The 27,423-nt window shown below is 37.7% G+C and overlaps 1 long non-coding RNA gene and 1 pseudogene across 1 annotated transcript in view; both read right to left on the reverse strand.

Annotated features, from left to right (window-relative positions):
- LOC124901704 (uncharacterized) overlaps positions 1 to 27,423 on the reverse strand; it is a 95,125-nt gene that overhangs the window by 6,874 nt on the left and 60,828 nt on the right. The gene's annotated exons all lie outside the window — the stretch shown is intronic.
- On the reverse strand, positions 16,311 to 17,134 carry RPL7AP40 (ribosomal protein L7a pseudogene 40; annotated as a pseudogene).

Consider the following 27,423-nt stretch of genomic DNA (forward strand, 5'->3'; position numbering starts at 1 on the left):
CACTTCTGCTTTTTATACTGCCTACTTCTCCTTTAGATTATAAATTTTCTCCTCCCTACCCCCACTTTTAAAAATATGATGTTCTGTGGGATTTCATCCTCAGGACTCTCACATTACACATTTGTTGCTTCAAATATTAGCTCTACTCTTAAATCACTAACACCAACCTAAATCTCATTTTAAAATTTTTAATTTTTGTGGATACATAGATGTATGTATTTATGGGGTACATGAGATAATTTTAATACAGGCATGCAATGTGTAATAATCACATGGAAAATGGGCTATTCATCCCCTCAAACATTTATCTTTTGTGTTATAAACAATCCAGTTATACTTATTTTTAAATGTACAATTATTGACTATAGTCACCTTGTGCTGTGAAATACTAGGTATTATTCATTCCTTATTTCACTTAACATACTGACCTCCAGTTCCATCCATGTTGTTGCAAATGACAGGATCTCATTCTTTTTTATAACTGAATAGTACTCTATTGTATACCACATTTTCTTTATCCATTCATCTGTTGATGGACACTTACGCTGATTCCATAACTTGGCTATTGTGAAGAATGCTGCAATTTGAGAGTGCAGATATCTCTTTAGTATACTGACTTTTCTTATTTGTCATCTGTATCCATCAATGGGATTGCTGGATCATATGCTAGCTCTATTTTTAGTTTTTTTAAGAACCTCCAAACTGTTCTCCATAGTGGTTGTACTAATTTACATTCCCACCTAAGCTGCACAAGGGTTCCCTTTTCTCCACATTCTCATCAGCATTTGTTATTGCCCGTCTTTTGGATAAAAGCCATTTTAACTGGGGTGACATGCTATCTCATTGTAGTTTTGATTTGCAGTTCACTGATGATCAGTGATTTTGAACACCTGTTTATATGCCTGTTTGCCATTTAAATGTCTTCTTTTGAGAAATGTCTACCAGATCTTTTGCCCATTTTTAAATCTGATTATTAGATTTTTTTCTTATAGAGTTGTTTGAACTCCTTATATATTCTGGTTATGACTCCCTTGTCAGATGGATAGTTTGGAAATATTTTCTCCCATTCCCTGGGTTCTCTTCACTTTATTATTTCCTTTGCTGTGCAGAAGCTTTTTAATGTACTATAATCCCATTTGTCCATTTTTGCTTTGGTTGCCTGTGCTTGTGGGGTATTACTCACGTTTCTGTCCAGACCAATGCCCTGGATATTTTCTTCAGTGTTTTCTTATGGTAGTTCCACAATTTGAGGTGTTGGATTTAAGTCTTTAATCCATTTTGATTTGATTTTTGTATATGGTGAGAAATAGGGGTCAAGTTTCATTCTTCTGCATATGGATATCCAGTTTTCCCCGCTACCATTTATTGAAAAGACTGTCTTTTCTCCCATGTATGTTCCTGGCACCTTTGTCAACAATAAGTTCACTATAGATGTGTGGGGGTTTTTTGTTTTTTTCTTTCTTTTTTTTAAACAGAGTGTCACTGTCACCCAGGCTGGAATGCAGTGGCATGATCTTGGCTCACTGCAACCTCCACCTCCCAGGTTCAAGTGATTCTTGTGCTTCAGCCTCCTGAGTAGCTGGGACTACAGGCATGTGCCACCATGCCTGGCTAGTGTTTACATTTTTGGTAGAGATGGGGTTCCACCATGTTGATCAGGCTGGTCCCGAACTCCTGGCCTCAAGTGATCCGCCCGCCTCAGCCTCCCAAAATGCTGGGATTATAGGCATGAGCCATTTTGCCTGGCCAGTAGATGTATGGAGATGTGTGGATTTATTACTGGATTCTCTATTTCTTTCCATTGTTCTATGTGTCTGTTTTTATTCCAGTACCATGCTGTTTTGGTTTCTATAGTTCTGTAGTAGAATGTGAAGTCAGGTAATGTGATTTCTCCAGTTTTCTTCTTTATGCTCATGATAACTTTTGCTATTCTGGGTCTTTTGTGGTTCCACATAATTTTTAGAATTTTTCCTGTTTCTGTGAAGAATGGCATTGATAGGGATTGCATTGAATCTGTTAATATGGACATTTTAATGATATTGAGTCTTCCAATCCATGAACATGGAATATCTTTCCATAGTTTGTGTCCTCTTCAATTTTTTTCATTGTTTTATAGTTTTCATTGTAGAGATCATTTACTTCTTGGTTAAAGGGTTAATTCCTAGGTATTTAATTTTATTTGTAACTATTGTAAATGGGATTAAAAAAAATTTTCAGATTGTTCACTTTTGGCATATAGAGATGTTACTAATTTTTATATGTTGATTTTGTATCTTGCAGTTTTACTGATTTTTATCAGTTCTTGTAGTTTTTGATGGAGCTTCTTAATCTCATTTGTGAACTTCAGATCTGTGTTTGAGACTGACATTTCCAACTCATGTTTAAAATCAAATATACTTCTCTTCCCTTTTCAGTGAATAACAACATATGCGCAATGACGAGTTAATGGGTGCAGCACACCAACATGGCACATGTATACATATGTAACAAACCTACACATTGTGCACATGTACCCTAGAACTTAAAGTATAATAAAAAATAAAAATAAAAAAAATAACATGTACACAGTTTACCAGTTCAGATTTTTGCAATTTTGCTTCGATTTCACCATTTCCCTACAGGCCTCTTCCTCATTATTCAGCAATTCTGACAACACTACATGGTGGATCACAAAATGCTCATAGTTCTCTACCACTCCTTGTACCCATGCCCTTTGCAAGGTAACTTTGCAGTGCCTATTAATCTGTTTTTCAGTTATTCAAATCTGCAGGCCTTGTGACTTGATTTGCTCAAAAGAATGAGGGAGTAATATTATGCAAACTTAGGTTCTGGGCCCTCAGAGCCTTGCATACTTCTGCCGGCACTATTGGACATCTGTCCAACTGCCATGTGAGCAAACTAGGGCTGGCCTACCAGAGGATCAGATCATGTGGAGCAAAGGTGAGTCATCCTAGACCAGCCAGCTCTCAGCCAACCACATTTATATGAGTGAGCTTAGCCATGACAGCTAATCCCAGTCCAAATTGCCAATTACAAGCTAAATTAATGGCAGTTCTTTTAAATCAGTACATTCTGGGGCAGCTTATTATATAGTTAGGGCTGATACACTGTACTGCCTTACTGTCTCAAAATCACTCATTCCCCCTTTTCTGACTATTAGTCTGATACTTTAGACTTACAATTTTTTTCTGTAGCAATCTATATATGGCTTTCTTGTCTCCAGCCTGTTTTTTTAGTATGTTACTTGCAGCCAGTCACCTTAGTGATATGCAAATCCTATTTCCCTGCTTAACATTTGGAGTGGAGGAGGGTGTTTGGATTGTACTTAATGGTAGTGATACATGGCACAATTGGCTTCTTACCATTGTACTTGGTGGTTGAGAGGAATCTGATACAGCTTATTGAAAATAAATTGGAAATATATATTAAGAACTTTAAGAACATTGGTACTTTTTGAACCCGTAAATTTTATTTCTAAGATTCTATCCTAAAGAAAAGATATTCAGGAATGTGCAGTTTTTCACATAATCATGTTATTAAAAATGATATTTGAGTGAATTTGGAACAGCAGAACTCCCCCAAATACTTAAAAGGTTAAGTGAGTTGTGATGACATGTATAACGAAGTAGTTTAAATGTAGGTTTATGAAGAATTTTTAATGACATGGAACATTTCCTGACATTGATAGGTGAGAAAATGATGCTATGAAATATATGGGATTTTAAATAAAATTTTAGATTTTCTTTTCAGTAATGTGGCAAACAATGCTAATCTGAGCAGTTCTGCTGAAAATGAAAACTTTTAGGTAGAGTAGAAAAAGTATTTTTTAGAAGCTTCTAGGAGCTGGCAATACCCTAAGAGATTAATTATAAGGCCAATATTGCTAAGTGAAACTGGCAAAGCCTCTTTTACCCTAAGATGAATTTCTACTTTGGTTTTGATGGTCCTTTGGGACACAGTGGGCAGAAGACAAAGCACAGAACCCACGTAAGTTGGAGAGTCATAAACGGTTTTTCCAGAAAGACAGGACCCTAAAGACTATATATACCCTCAGGGTTAGAGTGAGCCAGAAGAAAACTTGCTCCAGTACTTGTACAGAATTGCAGGCTATCCTGGATTCAAGTCATCTGTGTACTAAAACAAAACTTAAGCTATAAATTTAATATATGGCCCCAGAATGAGTACCTGACAAATGTAAACAAGCTTTTGAGGATACTCGGGTCACAGATAATTTCCAGAAAAGTGAATCCTCAAGTTTCAGTAAACAAGCAGACTCCACATGGAAAGCTAGCACCATGACTAAGAGGCAGCAGAGACAGACCACCAGAAAACTCAGATATTGGAATTAACACATGTATAATATAAAACGTGTTCACATGTTTAAACTTAAAAGTTATTTGGAAATATCTGCAAGAAACAAGGCATTATAAAAAGTAGGCTGGCATATTTGAAAAAGAACCAAATGGAACTTCTTATAGAAGTAGAAAATAGAATAACTAAAATTAAAAAATTAACCCTAATGGATAAGTTCAAAAGACAAGATGGACTTGAAATAATGAGAATTAGTGACTGCAATACAGAACCAAAAGAAAGTATCCAGAATTCCGCATGAAAAACAAACTTGAGAATATGAGAGGTGGTTAAAACACAAGAGTGTCATGTATATCTAATAGTTTCAGATAGATACCGAGGCAGAACCAATATTTGAAGCTATATTTCCTGAGACTTTTTCAAATCAATGAAACACATAGTCTATGGATTTATCCTAAGCAGGATAGATATAAAATCCTCATTCTTAGACATACCGTATTGAAGCAGCAGAATGCCAATAACTTGTAAAAGCAGCCGAAACAAAAGTCACAAGGGAACCTCAGCTAGTACAGGACAAGTCCCTGGATGGCTTTGGTGACCCAGCTATTCTCCACTTTCTCACTTGTAGTTCTTGTAGAAATGTGCCAGGAATACAACATCCTAATAAAGAATTGTCCAGAACAGCCCAGGCTCTGTTCCTGTCCCTCCTGGAACAGGGTGTCCTTCACCACTTTAACCCAGCGGCCCATGTCACCTCCTAGGGGGTACGGCTTTCAAAATCCAGGGGCTCTCCGTGACAGTGCAAGTAGAGTATGCACAGATGAGTCCCAATCTGCCCTAGGCAGCTTTCCTCAGCCTTTGGAGACTTGCTTGTCATGAATCCTGGGCTACTGTTTTTCCTTACTGCCTACCTACAATTAATAAGACGACTTCATGAAACATGTGTGTGAATGTCCTGTCTCACCAGACTCTTGGAAGTAGTAGAGACTGCAGTGCAAGATGCAGTGGGCTAAAGTGGTAAGCAGTGCACAGTGAATCTTCCTCACAACTAATCTTAAGCTGACTTCTCAAGAACAATAATGGAAATCAGAAACCAGTTGAATGACTATCCCTAATGTGTTGAGAGAAATAAATTCCATTTTAAAATTATATACCTAGCAAGTGTATTTCAGGAATGAAGGTAGAAAAAAGATAGTGTCAGACAACAAAATATGAGCAAGGTTGCCACCTGCGGATTCTCACTAAAGGAAATTATAAAGGATGTGGTTTGAAAAGGCTTTCGATAAAATTCAACAACTCTTCATGTTAAAAACTCTCAATAAAGTAGGTATTGAAGGAACATACCTCAAAATTATAAGAGCCATCTATGACAAGCCTACAGCCAACATCATACTGAATGGGCAAAAGCATACTCTCTCTCTCTCACTACTCCTATGCAACATAGTATTAGAGTCCTGGCCAGAGCAACCAGGCAAGAGAAAGGGCATCTAAATAGGAAGGAGGAAGTCTATTTCTGTTTGTAGATGACATGATTTTGTATCTAGAAAACACCATAATCTCAGCCCAAAAGCTTCTGAAGCTGAAGCAACTTCAGCAAAATCTCAGGATACATAACATACAAAAATCAGTAGCATTCCTATACACCAACTACAGTCAAGCCAAGAGTGAAATCAGGAATGCAATCCTATTCACAGTTGCCACAAAAAGAATAAAATACCTAGGAATACAGTGAACCAGGAGGTGAAAGATCTCTACATGGAGAACTGCAAAACAGTGCTCAGAGAAATCAGAGATGATACAAACAAATGGAAAAAAATTCCATGCTCATGGATAAGAAGAATCAATTTTATTAAAATGACCTTATAGCAGCCCAAAGCAGTTTGTACATTCAATGCTATTCCTATTACACTACCAATAACATCCTCACAGAACTAGGAAAAACTATTTTAAAATTCATGCAGAACCAAAAAGGAGCCCAAATAGCCAAGGCACTCCTGTGCAAAAAGAACAAAGCTGGAGGCATTACACTACCCGACTTCAAACTACACTACATGACTACGGTAGCCAAAACGCATGATACTAATACAAAAACAGACATATAGACCAGTGGAACAGAATAGAGAGCCTGGAAATTAAGCTAAACAGCTACAACCATCTGATCTCCCACAAACATGACAGAAGCAAGCAATGGAGAAAGGACTCCCCATAAGTAAATGGTGCTGGGATAACTGGCTAGCCATACGCAGAAGATTGAAACTGGACTCCTTATACCATATACAAAAATCAACTCAAGATGGATTAAAGACTTAAATGGAAAGCCCAAAACTATAAAAGCCCTAGAAAACAACCTAGGCAATATTATTCAGGACATAGGCACGGATAAGGATTTCATGATGAAGATGCCAAAAACAAATGCAACAAAAGCAAAAATTTACAAATGGGATTTAATTCCAACTAAAGAGCTGCACAAACAGGGAGCCTACAGAATGGGAGAAAGTATTTGCAAACTATGTATTTGACAAAGTTCTAATATCCACTATCTGGAAGGAACTTAAATCTACAAGAAAAATACAACCCCATTAAGATGTGGACAAAAGACATGAGCAGACACTCTTCCAAAGACGATGTACCTGTGGCCAGCAAGCATATAAGAAAAGCTTAACATCATGGATCATTAGATAAATGCAAATCAAAACCACAATGAGAAACTATCTCACACCAGTCAGAAGGGCTACTGTTAAGAAGTCAAAAAATAACATGCTGGTGAGGTTATGGAGAAAAAGGAATGCTTATACACTGTTGGTGGAAGTGTAAAAAGAAAATCTGGTACATATACACTGTGGAATACTATTCAGCCATAAAAGAGAATGAGATCATGTCTTTTGCAGGAATGTTGATGGAGCTGGAAGCCACTATCCTTGGCAAAATAATGCAGAAACAGAAAACCATATGCCACATATTCTTATTTATAAGTGGAAGCTAAGTGATGAGAACACATGGACACATGGAGGGGAACAACAGACACTGGGGCCTGTTGGAGGGTGGGGAGTGGCAGGAGGGAGAGGATCAGGAAAAACAACTAATGGGTACTAGGCTTAATACCTGACAAAGTAATCTACACGACAAACCTCTATGACACAAGTTTACCTAGGTAACCTGCACATATACCTCTGAACTTAAAAAGTTTTTTTTTAATAAAAAAGGATGTGCTTTATTTGTGTAATGAGAAGAAATAAAATACCAATTAGATTGTAAAAATGGATGACTCTGAAGGAGCTTTTATTATATTGAATATTGATGTTTCATGGGGTTAAAAATGAGAGATTTAAAAATATACAGGAATAATACATCAATTGGTATGGTAATGATTGAAGGAAGTGCTTTAAGTTTAGATGGTGTGAGAAGTGAATAAAATGTACTGATTAATTGTAAATATAGATGTGATTTCTAGTGTAACTACTACAAATGACTGCTATATAGAAATGAATATTTAACTTTCAAGCTAGTACAATGGAAAAATGAAACAGGAAAAATAATTATAAAATAAGAAATAGAAAAAACCATAGAAGGAACAGAATAAGTAGAAAAAAGATATTAACAGATGTAAGTATAGATGTAATTTCTAGTGGAACCACTACAAATGATTGTTACATAGAAATGAATATATAACTTCAAAACTAGTAGAGTGGAAAAATGAAATAGAAAAAAATTATAAGAGAAATAGAAGGAACAGAATAAGTAGAAAAAAATGAGACAGTATTAGTAGACATAACCAAAATGTGAGTAATTACATTAAATGTAAATGGACTGAGTTATCCAGTTAAAGGCAGATTGTTAACTGATTAAAAAATGAAACCAATTATATACTGTTATAAAAGACAACACCTAAACCATAAAATACAAACATTTGGAAAGTAAGGTGATGGGTAAAATTATACAAACCAAAAGGAAGCTGATGTAGATATATTAGTATTGGAAAAAAGAAATTGCTAGGGAAAGAGTCATATAATGAAAATTTCAGTCCACTAGGAAGGTAATTCAAAATTGACGTTACTGACCAGGTGCAGTGGCTCACGCCTGTAATCCCAGCACTTTGGGAGGCCAAGGTGGGTGGATCGCTTGAGGTCAGGAGTTTGAGACAAGTCTGACCAACACGGTGAAACCCAGTGTCTGCTAAAAATACAAAAATTAGTTGGGTGTGGTGGTGCATGCCTGTAATCCCAGCTACTTGGGAGGCTGACTGAAGCAGGAGAGTTGCTTGAACCCAGGAGGCAGAGGTTGCAATGAGCTGAGATCATGCCACTGCACTCCAGCCTGGGTGACAGAGCAAGATTCTTGTCTCAAAAAAAAAAAAAAAAAAAAGTTTGGCATTACCTGGTAAGTAAATGATTAAGCAGCCTCATATTTGAGGATGTTAACGCAATTCAAGGTAACCCATGTGTCAAAGAAATGCTCATCTAACCTAAAATATAAGTGGAACTGGACAGTGGTGAAAATACTTAAAATGTATGTGTTGCAGCTAAAACAGCACTTGGAAGAAATTGATAGATTTAAACGTGTCTAGCAGAAGGAAAGACTAAATGAAAGAAGCATATATCTTAAGTTATAGAAAAACAACACAAAATAAGCTGAAAGAAACTAGAAGGCAATAAAGACGAGCAGAATTTTATTTTAAGGTTTTATCTTTGAAAAAGATTTCTAACACTGATAAACCTCTGACAAAGTTAAGGAAAAAAGCAGGCACACATATCCTGTGTCTAGAATGAAGAAGAGGACATAAATATTCCTATTATGATGTTAAATATATTATTATGAATAACTTAAAACCAATAAGTTTGTAACATGTAGAAGAAACTGATGAATTTTAATAAAAACATAGCTTACCGAAATATACAATAGTTCAATAGCCGTCAAAATAACTGAATCAATAATTTACAATATTCCCAGAAAGAAAATTCCATGCCTAAACAACTTATTTGGTGAGTACTAACAAGTATTCAAAAAGTAATTCCAAACTTAAGCCTTTTCAGAAAAGAGGGGTACTCCTTAACTATATGGGCCCAGCAAATACCTGAAACCAAATGAAGTATGAAAAAGGAAAATTACTGGCCAATTTCACTTAGGAACATAGATTCAAAATTCTAAACTAAGTATTAGCAAGACAAATTCAGCAAAGGATGATTCATCAGGAACTAGTTGGGTTTATGCCAGGAATCCAAAGTTGTTTTTACATAAAAAAATCAATTACTATGATCACATAAATTAAAAGAGATTTAATTATGACCATCTCATTAGATGGAGAAAAAGCATTTGCTAACATTCAGTATCCATTCATGATAAAAATGCTTTTAGCAAACCAGGTATAAAGGCCACTTTATCAATGAAAGGGTTTCTACTGAACATCAGCAGCAAACATGATGAATCGTTGAAAGCTTTGTCTTTAAGATTGAGAAAAAGACAAAGATATCTGTCATTTCTTCTTCTGAATTCAAAACTGATGGTCTCTGAAAATGTAATTGTATATGTAGAAAATCTAGAAGAATCCACAAATTTCCACAAATTCAGATGAATAAGAGAAGTTTGCTGGATGCAATAATTGCTATCAATTGAATTTCTGTGTAGCAGCAAAAAGCAGCATGAAAATTTGTAAGTATTTTATCAACAAATATTAAATACTTAGAAACCAATTTAGAAAAAGATGTTAAAAATTCTCTGGAGGGAAAACCCCTATTCTCCCTGGGACAGAGCACCTAGGGGAAGGGGCGGCTGTGAGTACAGATTCAGCAGACTTAAGCATTCCTGCCTGCTGGCTCTGAAGAGAGCAGCAGTTCTTTGAGCACAGCGCTTGAGCTCTGCTAAGGGACAGAACTGCTTCTCAAGTGGGTCCCTGACCCCCATGCCTCCTGACGGGGAGACATTTCCCAGCAGTGGTCGACAGACAGGAGAGCTCCGCCTGGCATCTGGCAGGTGCCCCTCTGAGACGAAGCTTACAGAGGAAAGAACAGGCAGCAATCTGTGCTGTTCTGCAGCCTCTGCTGGTGATACCCAGGCAAACAGAGCCTGGAGTGGGCCTCCAGGAAACTCCAACAGACCTGCAGCAGAGGGGCCTGACTCACAGAAGGAAAACTAACAGAAAGGATGAGAGCATCAACATCAACAAAAAGGAGGTCCACACAAAAACCCCATCTGAAGGCCACCAGCATCAAAGAACAAAGGCAGATAAATCCAGGAAGATGGGGAGAAACCAGCGCAAAAAGGGTGAAAATTCCAAAAACCAGAATGCTGCTTCTCCTCCAAAGGATCACAACTCCTCACCAGCAGGGGAACATAACCTGATGGAGAATGAGTTTGACAAATTGACAGAAGTAGGCTTCAGAAGGTGGGTAATAACAAACTCCTCCGAGCTAAAGGAACATGTTCTAACCCAATGCAAGGAAGGTAAGAACTTTGAAAAAAGGTTAGGTGAACTGGTAACTAGAGTAACCAGTTTAGAGAAGAACATAAATGACCTGATGGAGCTGAAAAACAGCACGAGAACTTTGTGAAGCATACACAACTATCAATAGCCGAACTGATCAGCGGAAGAAAGAGAATCCTAAGCAAAAAGAACACAGCTGGAGGCATCACGCTACCTGACTTCAAACTATACTACAAGGCTACAGTAACCAAAACAGCATGGTACTGGTACCAGCACAGATATATAGACCAATGGAACAGAACAGAGGCCTCAGAAATAACACCACACATCTACAACCATCTGATCTTTGACAAACCTGACAAAAACAACCAATGGGAAAAGGATTCCCTATTTAATAAATGGTTCTGGGAAAACTGGCTAGCCATATTCAGAAAACTGAAACTGGACTCCTTCCTTACACCTTATACAAAAATTAACTCAAGATGGATGAAAGACTTAAATGTAAGACCTAAAAGCATAAAAAGCCTAGAAGAAAACTTAGGCAATACCATTCAGGACATAGGCACGGGCAAAGTCTTCATGACTAAAACACCAAAAGCAATGGCAACAAAAGCCAAAATTGACAATTGGGATTTAATTAAACTAAAAATTTCTTTTGCTGTGCAGAAGCTCATCATCAATGTGAACAGACAACCTACAGAATGGGGAAAAAATTTTGTAATCTATCCATCTGAAAAGGGCTAATATCCAGAATCTACAAAGAACTTAAACAAATTTATAAGAAAAAAACAACCCCATCAAAAAAATGGGCAAAGGATACGAACACACACTTCTCAAAAGATGACATTTATGTGGCCAACGTATGAAAAAAAGCTCATCATCACTGGTCATTAGGGAAATGCAAATCAAAAACCACAATGAGATACCATCTCACTCCTGTTAGAATGGCGATCATTAAAAAGTCAGGAAACAACAGATGCTGGAGAGGATGTGGAGAAATAGGAACACTTTTACACTGTTGGGGGGAGTATAAACTAGTTCAACCACTGTGGAATACAGTGGCTATTGCTCAAAGATTTAGAACCAGAAATACCATTTGACCCAGCAATCCCATTACTAGGTATATACCCAAAGGATTATAAATCATTCTACTATAAAGACACATGCACACATGTTTACTGCGACACTGTTCACAATAGCAAAGACTTGGAAACAACCCAAATGCCCATCAATGATACACTGGATAAACAAAATGTGGCACATATATACCATGGAATACTATGTAGCCGTAAAAAAGGATGAGTTAATGTCCTTTGCAGGGACATGGATGAAGCTGGAAACCATCATTCTCACCAAACTAACACAAGAACAGAAAACCAAACACTGCATGTTCTCACTCATAAGTGGGAGTTGAAGAATGAGAACACATGGACATAGGGAGGGGAACATCACACACTGGGGGTGTGTCAGATGGTGGGGGGCTATGGGAGGCATAGGATTAGGAGAAATACCTATTATAGATCACAGGTTGATGGGTGCAGCAAACCACCATGGCACGTGTATACCTATGTAACTAACCTGCATGTTCTGCACATGTACCTCAGAACTTAATTTTAAAAAATTAAAAATAATAATTGGAATTAACTATACTAAAAAAAAATTTCTGGAGGAAATTGTAAACTTTTTACTTAAAGACACTAAAGAAGTCTTAAAGGAAGTGGCACTCCACAGTCAAGGATTAGAATATTTAATATTGTAAATACCTTGTTTCCAAATAGTCTGTAGTTTCAACACAGTCTTCATCTAATTTCTAAATGTTTTTATTTTTAATTGACAAGCTTATTTTAAAATTTATATGGAATTGTAAAGGGCCAAGGATAACCAAGTCACCCTTAAAGACAATATAATCAAACTTACCCTACCAGATGTCAAAATATAGCTTTAATTATTAAGATATTATAGCCTTTTATTATAGGGTGCCTTGACTTATGGCAATGATGTACTGCAGTATAGTGGAGAAATGACTAATTTTCAATAAACTGTTCTGGAAAGTGGTATTTTTCTAGGAAAAAATAAACTTTGGTATCTCAAATTGGTTATAGGTTTCTTAAAGATCAAAATATGAAAGGCAGTATTACAACACTGCAAGAAAATAATACAGAGTATCTTCAAAATATTGGAGTAGGAGAGAACTTTTAAAATAAGACAACAAGTTCTAAAGAACAAAATGAATAAGTCTGATTAACATAAAGCTTATTATTAAAAGTAGTAAAGAATGCAGACACAAGCCTCAGAGTATAAAAAGATCGTTGCTACACATATTAATGGCCAACAACATCTGAAGAACTCCTATAAATCAATGAAAAAGGGGTAAATTCCAATAGAAAATGGGCAAAGATATTGAACAGTAAGTTCACAAATAAGGAAATTTACATGGTCAGTTAACAGAAGAAAATCCTTGGCCTCATTTGTAATAGGGAAACTTAAATAGAAATTACAATCAGATTACATTACACAACTTCCAGGTTTAATAAAATAAAGTCTGACAATAACAAGTGTTGACAAAGATAAGGAAATAATAAAAACTCTTATCCTGCTGGTGGGAGTGTAGATTAGTATAATGTCTTTGGAATACATTTTGATATTCTCTAGTAAATTTGAAGATTATTATGCATAATACTATTGCATTTTTCATGTTACTGCATTCATGGTATTACACTGTAGTATGATGGTTGAGTACAGACACTTCTGCCAACTGCATTGATTTGAATTCCATTTTCCTAGCTTTTTCACCTTGAACATGTGACTTGATTCATAAAAGTAAAGTTTGTCTCCCCACCCCAAAACCAATTTTTGCTTTCATAGTGTTGTGAGCATTAAATGAGCTAGTCTGTGTGAAATGTTCAGAACAGTACCTGGAATGTAATAAACACTACAAAGCATTTATTATTGTTATTGCTGTTACTATTACTTTGCAACCCACAAAACCAGTTCTAGACAATTTTGTGCATGTGTGAATTAGGGTACTATACAAGAATGTTCATATAAGAATTATTTTAGCAGCTTCAGTTTTCTAGGGTTTTTATGGTTTTAGGTCTTATGTTTAAGTCTTTAATCAATCTTGAGTTAATTTTTGTGTAAGGTATAAGGAAGGGGTCCAGTTTCAGTTTTCTGCATATGGCTAGCCAGTTTCCCTAACACCATTTATTAGCTAGGGAATCCTTTCCCCATTGCTTGTTTTTGTCAAACCAGAAACAATGCTAATGTCCCTCAATAGTAGAATGGAAAAAAAGTTATGATATAGTCATATAGCAGCAAACCTGAATGAACTATTATTTTCATATACACTGAAGAAAGAAGTCAAATAAATATGGTGTGAATGCATTAGTACAAAACTGAAAAACAGGCAAAACAACAATATCGTGAGGAATGCAGGTATTCATGGTAAAACGTTAAAGAAAGCAAGCAAATTACTATCACAAAAATTAAATAGTGGTTAACTCCACTAACAAGGTTGTGACTGGAAATGGGGACATGGGGTCTTCTCGGATCCTGGGGGGCAATGTTTCATATTCTAAGCTGTGTTATGTTTATATGAGTGTTTATAATTATTCTTCAAATTGTATGTATATGTCGTTGACTTCCATTTTTAAGCTACTAAAAACTTCTGGAGTGGAAAAGATAATTGTTCAAAGTGTGGGCATGGGAAAGAGAGATAAAGTGTAATCTCTAAATGGACAGTCCAAAGGCATTTGGAGACATTTGCTCAAGATCAAGGAAAGAAAGAGTGGACACGATATGGAACCCCTCCTCCTTCTCCCAATGCATATTGAGCCTTATAAATGACAGTGTTTTACCATTGAGTACAATGGTGGATTTTTAAAAAATACAAATTGCTGGGTGCCCACCCTGAAGAAATGGTGTAGGATAGAGCCTAGGCATTGGTAGTTTTTTTTGTTTTTTGTTTTTGAGACGGAGTCTCGCTCTGTCGCCCAGGCTGGAGTGCAGTGGTGCGATCTCGGCTCACTGCAACCTCCACCTCCTAGGTTCATGCCATTCTCCTGCCTCAGCCTCCTGAGTAGCTGGGACTACAGGCACCCACCACCACGCTTGGCTAATTTTTTGTATTTTTAGTAAAGACGGGGTTTCACTGTGTTAGCCAGGATGGTCTCGATCTCCTGACCTCGTGATCCGCCCGCCTCAGCCTCCCAAAGTGCTGGGATTACAGGCGTGAGCCACCGCATTTGTAGTTTTAAAAAAAGCTGTCTAGGAAATTCTGATGGGTTTCTGGGCTTGACTTTCACTGCTATATTAAAAACAAACTAAACCAACAACATACCTTGAGTGAGTAAAACTAAAAAAATAGGAAAATAATTATTTCAATTAAGGATCAACCACAGGTTCTTTCATTTATAGTGATTAGCTCCCTTTCAATGTAATCCAACTCCCCCCAATTTTGAATTATTCATAACACTTCAAGAATTTGGTTAATATGTCATGTAGGAATATATCTGCTTAAGAGGGAAAATTGACCTAATGGTTACTTTTGTGATTGTATTTGTTGCTTTCATTTTTTATAAAGCTCCTTATTTTCCAGCTCTTGGCATTTTATGTTGATGTGTTTCAAAAAATTGGTTTTACAATGAACAACACTTGAGGGTTGTTTGCATTTTCCTTTTGTTAAGAGACCTGATAGAGGAAAGACTACAGGACCTTTGTTATATCAACTTGATTCCTATAAAATTATGGAATTTCAAGAGGCTGTTAAATGTATCTAGTTTAACTACATTTTTTGCCCTTTTATTTTCAGAACTTATTTGATCAAGGAATGCATTTTGACTCTCGAGATTAATGAATTTGAAATATAAATTCACTTATTCCAACTAGTTGAGTATTTTAGACATCTTTAAGTCTGACTTACAGAAACATGCAGAAGTGCTGGGGTCCGTTGGCAGTTATGGGCTTTAGGAAATGTATTATTTTTGTACAAATTGTAAGATTAGCTTATAATGTTTTAGCAAAGAAATAATAGAGTTCAATGCTAGATACCTGAAATAGTACACCCTTTTCAGGATTTCAAAATATAGCCGTGCGAAAGCTGAAAGGAGCTGAATGTTGAATAATTGTTGCTAAGCAACATTAAAAGAATAACTATCTGCATAGTAATGGCATATCTAACAAATGCTGCCACTCACATTAGATGACTGAAAGGAGAACAAAGCACCAGGCTACAAGAATAGTAAAATTTTACATTTAAAATGTATATCATAATGAACTTGTAAGATAAGCTCACTCAATAGCAATTTGATTTTAAAATATGACTAAACAAAAAGATTATGGTAAAAACATTTGAATGAATGGGATTTGGATTAGATAATATTTTAAACCGACTAATCTAAAGTAGGGAGAAAGGCAACATTGTAATACTTCAGTAAAATAGTATAGTGAATATCTTCAAAATATTGCAGTTGTTCTCAAAGCTTAGCTTTATGAAACATGTGAGGGTACCTTTATGTCTTCTAGACCCAAAGACACATCTCACATTGTTTAACTCTGTTGCCCCAATCTCAGTCTTCTTTTAAAGGAGAATTTGTATTATTTTAATTATTTTTATGTACAGAAAACTCAACAGTGTACATTTAACCATTTGGTGGCAAGTTCTTTAGCCTTTGGCTTCTCCAGCTTGGCAATGTGAGCCAGACTTGGGACCCAGGACGTTGCCTCCCCAGTGATGGGGAATCTCATCATATCTGTCGTTATAATTGATCCTGATAGCTTCCAACAGTTTAGCCAGAGCTCCTTTGTTGTGTGTGAAGGCTACAATGGTGCAGGTCTTCCTGTGGACTAGATGCCCCAGTCTTGCCTTTCCCTTGATAATGCAGTAAGGGGCCCTCATGTTATGACACAGGGCAGGCAGGAAGACACCAGCTCGATGGGATCCATGTCCTGTGCAGTCACCACCAGCTGAGCCTTCTTGTTCCCCACCAAGGTGGTGATGGTGTTAATTCCTGCTTGAAGGACAGGTGATCTCTTAACAGAGACATATCCTTTGCCAGCAGCTTTCTTCTTAGCCCAGGCCAACAGCCTCTGCTTCTTCTCTTGCTTTTTCTCTGGTCAGTGGCCAGCTTAAGAAGCTGAGTAGCTGTTTGGCGGTCCAAGGCCTGGGTGAACTGGTTAATCGCCGGAGGCGCTTTCAGCCACTTACAGAGGATGGCTCTCTGGTGCTGCAACCTGATACAATGGGGCCATTTCATAAAGTAGGTGAGCTCCCTTTTGGGCTGGATGTCCTGTCCAATGCCAAAATTCTTAATTCTTTTCTCAAACAGGGGATTCACCACTTTCTTGGCCACCTGCTTCTTCCCATTGGCCTTTCTTTTTGGCATCTTGGGTGGCAGGAGGAGAGAGCCCAATCTCAGTCTTTCTATAGAGAATGCAAGTTCCATAAGTCAGAAAGTTTGTTTTGTTCTCTGATGTTTGACCAATACTTATAAAGTGCCAGCCACATTGCAGGGACTCCATAAATATTAGTTGAATAAAATAATATCTAAAAATAGTATAGTAGTCAGTGTTCATTCTGGAACAAACGATCAATTTGAATACGGAAAGTTTAATATAAAAAGTATTAAGTAGGGAAGTAACTGTAAAACTGTTATAAAGCTGTAAAGAGAACTCAAAGGAATACCCTAGGGATAAGGCAGAGTACCCACAGAAGAACAAACTTGGAAAGAGAGGCCCTTCCCAAGGTTGGGATTCAGAACCTAGTAGATAGCAGAGGCATTTGCTGTGTTGCCCAGGCTAGAGCTAGTGTATAGTTGCTAAGCAAGCAGGAAACTACCCTCTGGCAGGTGTGATGGTGCTGGCAGGCAGGCAGGCTTACAGAGGAATTGGGAGTTTGGAGATTCTGCTCACTGGTAAGGCAGTGTACAGATGGATATGTAGTGTGGATATCTGGGCGTCTTAACAACCTTTTGCAATGCAAGCAGGTTGAGGATAGTAACAGGCACACAGAGGGTATGAGGCCTAAGGAAATGTGTGGCTTGGAGTGCACAGTGTTTGTGTCTAGAGTTACACAATAAGCAACTCAGGTATGGATGGGCAGAGGCTGATAGCCAGGTAGGCACTAAGAGGGAGTCAGGGCATCTGGAGTTTACTTGTGAGCAGGGTGCCCCATAGCATGAGATGTTCATTGATAATGTCCTGAGTGCCAGGTGAGGTGATCACCAGTCCAGGCCAGGCTACAAGCTTGGCAAGAGACTACACATCATGGACATGCAGGTAGGCGGAGTATGCTGGTGTCCCAGCACACATGCTGCTGGCATCTGTGCAGTAGGAACAAAGGAGAAGCAAAAATGGCAGCACACTAGATAAATCCCTGCTTTTACAATGATCCTCCAGCACTCTCCACTGATAAAGCTAGATATTTTCTCACTACAAAGGAAAAATATTTAAATCTCCATCATCACAGAGCTGGTAAGGCAGAATCACTTTGGAGAAGAGAGGCAATAAACTGACATCAAGCACATGTAGTTAACATAGAATGTATGCCACATACTGAGATTTATATTGGTTATTATTAGATTACATATAGTATATAGCTATTCATCTATTATATAGATCATGTTACATAAATTATTTAAACCTCAATTTCCCTATGATTTGCTATTTGTTTTATAGATGAATAATCTGAAGCTTAGAGGAATGAAGTAACTTGCTAGGTGTCGAATAGCTGATAAGAGCAAGAAATGGGATTTCAACCTTTTTAGTTTTCCTAGCACCTATGCCTTTAACCATTATCCCATTACACTTCCTCCCAGAGGAAAATGTTATTGAATTGCTAAAGGTAACCTACTGGCTCAGCACCTATTGGTTGTGTCCTCATCAAGTGACACTTTAGACACTTGCTTTTCAGTGGTCTTACCCACTCAAAGGTTCTCATGTTGCTCGTAGGGTGCCAAGCATTCCTTTAGGTACCTCTGCGTCAGTTCCTCATAGACAAGCACCCCATACTGGTCATCAAATAGTGATGCCAATAGGGTTGTCCCAGTAGAGTCCCCTGTGTAGGGAGATAGTGCAGGCATGGCAATCAACACTAGATGATAGTAACTCTTCCAAAAGGAGACTGCAGGGCAAATTTCCTGAGATCATGTAAATGGGCCCTAACTCTGGACACAGTTAATGGTACCTTTCAAATTCAGGAATGAAAAGAAACACCTGTGGCTGGGCGCGGTGGCTCACGCCTGTAATCCTAGCACTTTGGGAGGCCGAGGCAGGCGGATCACAAGGTCAGGAGATCAAAACCAACCTGGTGAACACTGTGAAACCCTGTCTCTACTAAAAATACAAAAACATTAGGCAGGCATGGTGGTGGGCGCCTGTAGTTCCAGCTACTTGGGAGGCTGAGGCAGGAGAATGGCATGAGCCTGGGGGATGGAGCTTGCAGTGAGCGGAGATGCACCACTGCACTCCAGCCTGGGCAACAAAGTGAGACTCTGTCTGCAAAAAAAAAAAAAAAGAAAGAAAGAAAGCAAGAAAAAGAAACACCTGCTTACTCAAAGTACCACACCAAACATCCTCACATTTTGTTCTTAGGATTTTGGTCTTAGATCTTTCTTACTCCATTCCCCCTGTGGGTACTCCATCAACTCCTTTGGCTCTCTGAACCATGTATTTGATGATATCCAGATCTCTCCCCAGGCTACATCTCTCTCATGAGCTCCATACCTCTGAATCCAAGCATTCCTTACATATCTACCCCTAGCTATCCTAAAACCCAAAGACCATAGTTCAAAACTCCACTCATTCAATTGCCCTAAACCTGATCACCCTGTCTGGGCTTCTTTTTATGAACAATCACCTAGCTGTCATTACCAGAAACTGGGTGTCATCTTTGATGTCTTTCTCTTCCTTACCTCTGCATGAAATATATTCCTATTGTTCCCTCCCCACCTTTATTCAACCTATCACCAAGTCTTGTTTATTCTATTTAATAACTCTTACATTCACTCAGTTTTTTCTATCCACATTTTCACTTTAGTTCAACCTATTATCTCATCTGGATTTCCCCAATATCTTCCTAACTTCCTCTAGTATTGACCCCTCCAATCTGTTCTCTAGAGTGCCATGAGGGTAATTTTTCTCAAATTCAAATCTGATTATGTCACTTCCTTGCTTTAAAAACCCTTCAATGCTATCTTGTTTAAGGTAAGTCCAAACTCCTCAATGCATATCGTTAGATGCTTTACGATCTAGCTTGAGTTTACCTCTTGAATCACTTAGAGTTGCTAAAAGAAACAACCATAGACAAATTAAACAGTTTGATTGAACTAAGAAGGACTTGCAAATCAGGCATTCCCAAAACCAAAATAGGTTCAGAGAGACTTCAGCACAGCTCTGTGGTAGAAGATGATTTATGGACAGGAAAAGGAAAGTGACATACAGAAAATGGAAGTTGAGGTACAGAAACAGCTGGATTGATTACATCTTCGTGTTTGCTTTATTTGAACATGGTTTGAACAGCTGGCTGCCTTCAATTGGCCAAAACTTCTTGATTGAAACAAGGTTAGGTTATAATCTGTTTACACCTCTGGTTTACAGTATTTCTCTGTATGGAGAAACCTTTAAGCTGAACTTAAAATACGTGAGAAGGCAGTTTTAGGCTGAACTTGACTCCAGTCAGAAGACCGAAACTACTCTCAAAAGACAGAAACTACACCAGTCATTTTCATTGACAGAAGATGAAAAGTTGTTTATTAGTTATGAAGAACTGATAAAGCAAAAGAGAACAATAAGATGTCATAGAGGTAGCAAATGCAGGAAGAAGCTATCAATTCTAGGGCTGAGGGAATAACGGGAAGAGGTTAAAATTATTAAACTTTAAAAGTGTGCCCCGAGTAGCTGAAATTCAGGCCTCTGAGGAGAGGGGCAGTGGACAGCTGGTGTGTCTTAGGTGGAGTGAGTATGATGCAGCTAGTTTTGCAAATGTTAGAAACTGTAAATTTGCTTCAACTGCTGCTACTAGAATGGGCGGCAGCTTCTAGAGTGAAAAGAGCCTGGAGGACACTGATAGGAATAAGAATAAGAGGCAAACTGGAAGTAACAAGGCTTTTCCTTCTCCAATCCAGTAGTTTTCCTCTAGTATCCCCTATTGGCAGAGCCTAAGGAAACCATCTGGCAAAGCAGGAATGTAGTTTGTAGAGTCCTAACACCAGCATCACAAAGCTAAGTTAGAAGAGTGGGTTTGAAGCTAAAGGACAATAACTCAGAAACTGGCAAAATCCATCCCTTTAGCTATTCAGCACGCTCGCATCCTTCTATGTGTCTTACAAACAACAAAAACAACTCTATGTTTTCACTTAGAAATGCAACTATCCTTTTTACAAATGAAGACGTTCTCATCCTTTTCTCAAAATGAGGAGCCTAAAGTTACAACAATAAGAGCATCCACATCCATAAATGATTTATCTCTGGGCTATGATAACTACTCCCAAAGTTCAGTCACAGTTCCATCTGAATATTTGGTCACCTAAAGAGGAAATAGTAAACTTACCTGCCAACAAAATTTGTGAAAATTAATAAGGGGAAGCATATGAAAGAAAAATTTGTATTTATATGTACAGAGATGAACGCTCACTTATACAATAAACAGAAAATATATACATTAGTCATTACTTCTATAACTAGTCCCAAGGTAATAGTTTATAACTTTCTTCTTTCACTACCAATCCCTTGTCTCTTTTGTTCTCAGCCGTAACTTCACCAGATCAAAGTTGTCTTTACTGTTGTTTTTAACCTGGTGATGTTTGATGTCTCAAACTCTCATTCTGAAGGACCTGAATCTTCAGTGGACCTGCCCTTTTGAGGCGGAAACATTTCTGGGTTCCAAACATAGTCCTCCCAGCTCCGGTGTAGGCAGCAACCCCATTTCCTCTTAGTAAACAGAGTCAATCATCCCAGCCAGTTGATTAACCCCATCTTTGCCTGTTGGATCAGTAGCATGAAGAACCCCAAATGGCCAGGTGGTAGCCCTAACTTCTAATTCAATAGAACCATCATTGTGTCCCCTGGTAGAAACATTTTTCCCTTGGAACCATGTCTTCTAAATTGGCAAAGTTCAAAGCAAAAATTCTGCAAGTACGTTACTAATAGTGAGGGGAATTACATGCAATTCTGCATGTTGATTTCTGGGTCCTTCTATCCTGACTTTGGGAGAGACAGCAGCAAATATTGGTCACTAATTCAAACTATAAACTTCATCCTGTAAAATAGAACCCCATACTTTCAGGGCATTGTCTCCAAACGCACCATAACTGAGTCTTCACTAGGTTATTCTAGCATTCTACTAGATCAACTGCTTCTAGGTGATTGGTGCTGGGAGATTAATCAACACCATGGGCATGAGCCCATTGTGCACTTCTTTAGCTCTGAAATGAGTTCCCTGGTTACCAGCAACATTTGTATAATCACATAATTCTGAGTGAGGCAATCCATAGGTTCACAAATTGTGACGCTGGCAGTGTATTATCAACAGGGAAGCCCAATTCATATCCAGAATACATACCTATTCCAATGAGGATAAATCCTTGCCTATTCCTCATAAAGAAGAGACTGACGGAATCAATTTGCTACCAGATATCTATCTAGTCTCCTAGCGGGTACTGGCACATCAAAGGGCTCAGCATTGATCTCTGATGTTGATAGATTAGCCTCAACAACAGTGGTATCCATGTCAGCCTTGGTGAGGGAAAGTCCATGTTATTCAGCCCATGCATAGCATCCTGCCACCATATCCCTGCCGCCATGGCCACTTTGTACATAGGCCCATTAAGCACTAGGGTGGTTGGAGAAAGAAGTTGAAAGATATTCACAAACTACGTCAATTTATTCACCTGATTACTGGGAATATCCTCTACCATAGATGTTTGTTTTTTTGAGACAGAGTTTCGTTCTGTCACCCAGGCTGGAGTGCAGTGGCGTGATCTCGGCTCACTGCAACCTCTGCTTCCCGGGTTCAAGGGATTCTCCTGCCTCAACCTCCCAAGTAGCTGGGACTACAGGTGGTGCCACCATGCCCGGCTAATTTTTTGTATTTTTAGTAGATACAGGATTTCAACATGTTAGCTAGGATGGTCTCTATCTCCCTGACCTCATGATCCAGCAGGCTTGGCCTCCCAAAGTGCTGGGATTACAGGTATAAGGCACCACACCCGGCCCGTAGATGTTTTTATTAGGTTGTTTGTGTGTTTGTTTTGTTTGTTTGTTTTTTAGTACAGAAGAGGTCTCACTGTTGCCCAGGCTGGTCTTGAACTCCTGAGCTCAAGCAATTCTCTTATCTCAGCCCCCAAAATACTGAGATAGGCATGAGCCACTGTGCCAGGCCTATAAAAAAACTTTTAATTGTAAATTGACAAGTTATAATTGCATGTAATTATGGGGTTCAAAGTGATTTTTTTTTTTGAGAGATGGAGTCTCACTCTGTAGCCCAGGCTGGAGTGCAGTGGTGCGATCTTGGATCACTGCAACCTCTGCCTCCTGGGTTCAAGCAATTCTCCTGCCTCAGCCTCCTGTGTAGCTGGAATTACAGGCATGTGCCACCATGCCTGGCTAATTTTTTTGTATTTTTAGTAGAGACGGGGTTTTACCATGCTACTCAGGTGGGTCTCGAACTCCTGACCTGGTGATCCACCTGCCTCAGCCTTCCAAAGTGCTGGGATTATAGGCATGAGCCACCATGCCTGGCCCAAAGTGATATTTATGAATATAATATGGAATAATTAAATCAAGCTAATTAATATGTTCATTATCTTTAATACTTATTTTTTGTGGTGAGAACATTTGAAATTAACTCTCAGTGATTTTGAAATGTACAATAGGTTATTTTGCTATATTCAGTCTGCAATGCAATACATCTAAAGGAAAAAGAAATATTTCTTCTAATTGAGGCTTTGTTTTCTTTGACCATCATCTTCCTCATTCCTCCTGTACCACCCCCCCACCTTCACCCCCGGTAACTACCATTCTATTCTGTGCTTCTTTGCATTTGAGTGTTTTATATTCTACATATAATAAGAACATGCAATCTTCATCTGTGTCTGGTTTATTTAGTTTAGCATAATGTTTTTTACTTCCATCCGTATTGCCACAAATGACAAGTTTTTTTAACTAAATAGTATTCCATTATGTGTGATACAATATTTTCTTTATCTATTCCTCTGTTGATGGACACTTAGGCTGACTCCATAACTTTCCCACTGTGAATAGTGCTGCAGTGAACATGGGAATGCAGACATCTCTTCAATATACTGATTTCAAGTATTTTGAGTAAATATTCTAAAGTGGGATTGCTGAATCATATGTAATTCTATGTTTAGTTTTTTGAGAAACCTCTATACATTTTTCTATAATGGCCATACTAATTGATATTTCCACCAATAGTGTCCAAGTGTTCCCATTTCTATACATTCTCATTAATACTCATTATCTTTCATCTTTTGAATAGCCATTCTGATACGTGTATGGGGATATCTCATTGTGGTTTTAATTTATATTTCTCTAATTATGAAAAAATGCTCAATATTTCTAGTATCTGTTGGCCATTTGTAGATCTTCTTTGGATAAATGTCTATTCAGTTCCCTTACCTATTTTTAAATCAGATTTGTTTTCTTTGTATAGAATTGACTCTCATATTTTACATATTGACCCCTAATCAGCTGCATGGCTTGCAGCTATTTTCTCCTGATCTTTAGGTTGTCTCTTCACTCTGTTGTTTCCTTTGTTGTGTGGAGGATTTTTATTTTGAGGTAATCCTGTTTATCTCTTTTTGCTTTTATTGAATGTGCTTTTGGGGTCAAATCTAGAAAATCATTGCCCAGACCAGTGTCTGGTAGTTTTTCCAGAATGTTTTCCCCTAGTAGTTTTATAGTGTCAGGTCTTATGTTTAAGTCTTTAATCCACTTTGAGGTGATTTTTACATATGGTGTGAGATAAGGGTCTAATTTCATTCTTCTGCATCTGGATATCCAATTTTTTTCAACAGAATTCATTAAGGACTGACTTTTTCCTATATTCATGGCACCTTTGTTGAAAATCAGTTCTCCATATGTGCATGGGTTCATTTCCAGGCTCTGTATTTTTTCCCATTAGTCAATGAGTCTATTTTTATGCCAGTACCATGCTGCTTTATAATATAAAGTCAGGTGGTGTGATGCCTCCAGTTTTTTTTTTTTCCCTTATGATTGCTGTGGCTATTTGGGGTTTTTGTGGTTCCATATGAATTTTAGGATTGTTTTTTTCTTTTCCATGAAAAATGACATTGAAATTTTGATAGGGATTGCATTGAATCTGTATATCACTTCGGGTATTATGGACATTTAAACAATGTCAATTCTTCCAATCCATAAACATGGGATATCTTTCCATTTATTTGTGTCTTTTTCAATTTATTTTATTAACATTTTATAGTTTTTAGTGTGCAGGTCTCTATCTCCTTGATTAAATTTATTTCTAAATTATTTTTATGGCTACTGTAAATAGGATTGTTCTCTTTTGGAATGTCCATCGTTAGTGTACATAAAGACCTCCAATTTTTGTATGTTGAGTTTGTATTCTACAACTTTATTATATTCTTAAATTAGCTCTTAACAGTTTTTGGTGAAATCTTTGTAGTTTTTCTATATGTAAGTTCTTGTCATCAAACAATAATAATATCACTACTTCCTTTCCTATTTAGATGCCTTTTATTTCTTTCTCTTGTCTAATTGCTTTGGCAAGGACTTCCCACTCTACATTGAATAGAAATAATCAGAGTAGGCATTCTTGTGTTTTCGAGATCTTAGAGAAAAGGATTTCAGTTTTTCACTGTTGAGTATATTTACTGTGGGCTTATCATATATGACCTTTATTGTGTTGAGGTATATTCCTTCTATATCTAATGTATTGAGAGTGTCTAATGACAAAAGATGTTGAATTTTTTTGAAAGCCACTGATTTAATTGATTCTATTTTTTTAAATTATACTTTAAGTTTTAGGGTACATGTGCACAATGTGCAGGTTTGATACGTAGGTATACCAGTGCCATGTTGGTTTGCTGCACCCATCAACTCATCATTTACATTAGGTATTTCTGCTAATACTATCCCTCCCCCACCCCCCACCCCCTCCAACAGGCCCCAGTGTGTGACGTTCCCTGCCCTGTGTCCAAGTGATCTCATTGTTCAATTCCCACCTACGAGTGAGAACATGCGGTGTTTGGTTTTCTGTCCTTTTGATAGTTTGCTGAGAATGGAGGTTTCCAGCTTCATCCATGCCCCTGCAAAGAACATGAACTCATCCTTTTTTATGGCTGCATAGTATTCTATGTTATATATGTGCCACATTTTCTTAATCCAGTCTATCATTGATGGACATTTGGGTTGGTTCCAAGTCTTTGCTATTGTGAATGGTGCCACAATAAACATATGTGTACATGTGTCATTATAGTAGCATGATTTATAATCCTTTGGGTATATACCCAGTAATGGGATTGCTGGGTCAAATGGTATTTCTAGTTCTAGATCCTTGAGGAATCACCACACTGTCTTCCACAATGGTTGAACTAATTTACACTCCCACCAACAGTGTAAAAGCGTTCCTATTTCTCCACATCCTCTCCAGCATCTGTTGTTTCCTGACTTTTTAATGATTGCCATTCTAACTGGCATGAGATGGTATCTCATTGTGTTTTTGATTTGCATTTCTCTGATGACAAGTGATGATGAGCATTTTTTGATGTGTCTGTTGACTGCATAGATGTTTTCTTTTGAGAAGTGTCTCTTCAAATCCTTTGCCCACTTTTTGATGGGGTTTGTTTTTTTCTTGTAAATTTGTTTGAGTTCTTTGTAGATTATGGATATAGCCCTTTGTCAGATGGGTAGATTGCAAAACTTTTCTCCCATTCTGTAGGTTGCATGTTCACTCTGATGGTAGTTTCTTTTGCCGTGCAGAAGCTCTTTAGTTTAATTATGTCCCATTTGTCAATTTTGGCTTTTGTTGCCATTGCTTTTGGTGTTTTAGTCATGAAGTCTTTGCCCATGCCTATGTCCTGAATGGTATTGCCTAGGTTTTCTTCTAGGGTTTTTATGGTTTTAGGTCTAACATTTAAGTCTTTAATCCATCTTGAATTAATTTTTGTATAAGGTGTAAGGAAGGGATCCAGTTTCAGCTTTCTACATATGGCTAGCCAGTTTTCCCAGCACCATTTATTAAATAGGGAATGCTTTCCCCGTTTCTTGTTTTTGTCAGGTTTGTCAAAGATCAGATGGTTGTAGATGTGTGGTGTTATTTCTGAGGCATCTGTTCTTTTCCATTGTTCTATATATCTGTTTTGGTACCAGTACCATGCTATTTTGGTTACTGTAGCCTTGTAGTATAGTTTGAAGTCAGGTAGCGTGATGCCTCCAGCTTTGTTGTTTTGGCTTAGGATTGTCTTGGCAATGCAGGCTCTTTTTTGGTTGCATATGAACTTTAAAGTGGCTTTTTCCAATTCTGTGAAGAAAGTCATTCGTAGCTTGATGGGGATGGCATTGAATCTATAAATTACTTTGGGCAGTATGGCCATTTTCACAATATTGATTCTTTCTATCCATGAGCATGGAATATTCTTCCATTTGTTTGTGTCCTCTTTTATTTTGTTGAGCAGTGGTTTGTAGTTCTCCTTGAA

The sequence above is a fragment of the Homo sapiens genome, chromosome 7 (genome assembly GCF_000001405.40).
Source record: "Homo sapiens chromosome 7, GRCh38.p14 Primary Assembly".
Taxonomy (NCBI): domain Eukaryota; kingdom Metazoa; phylum Chordata; class Mammalia; order Primates; family Hominidae; genus Homo; species Homo sapiens.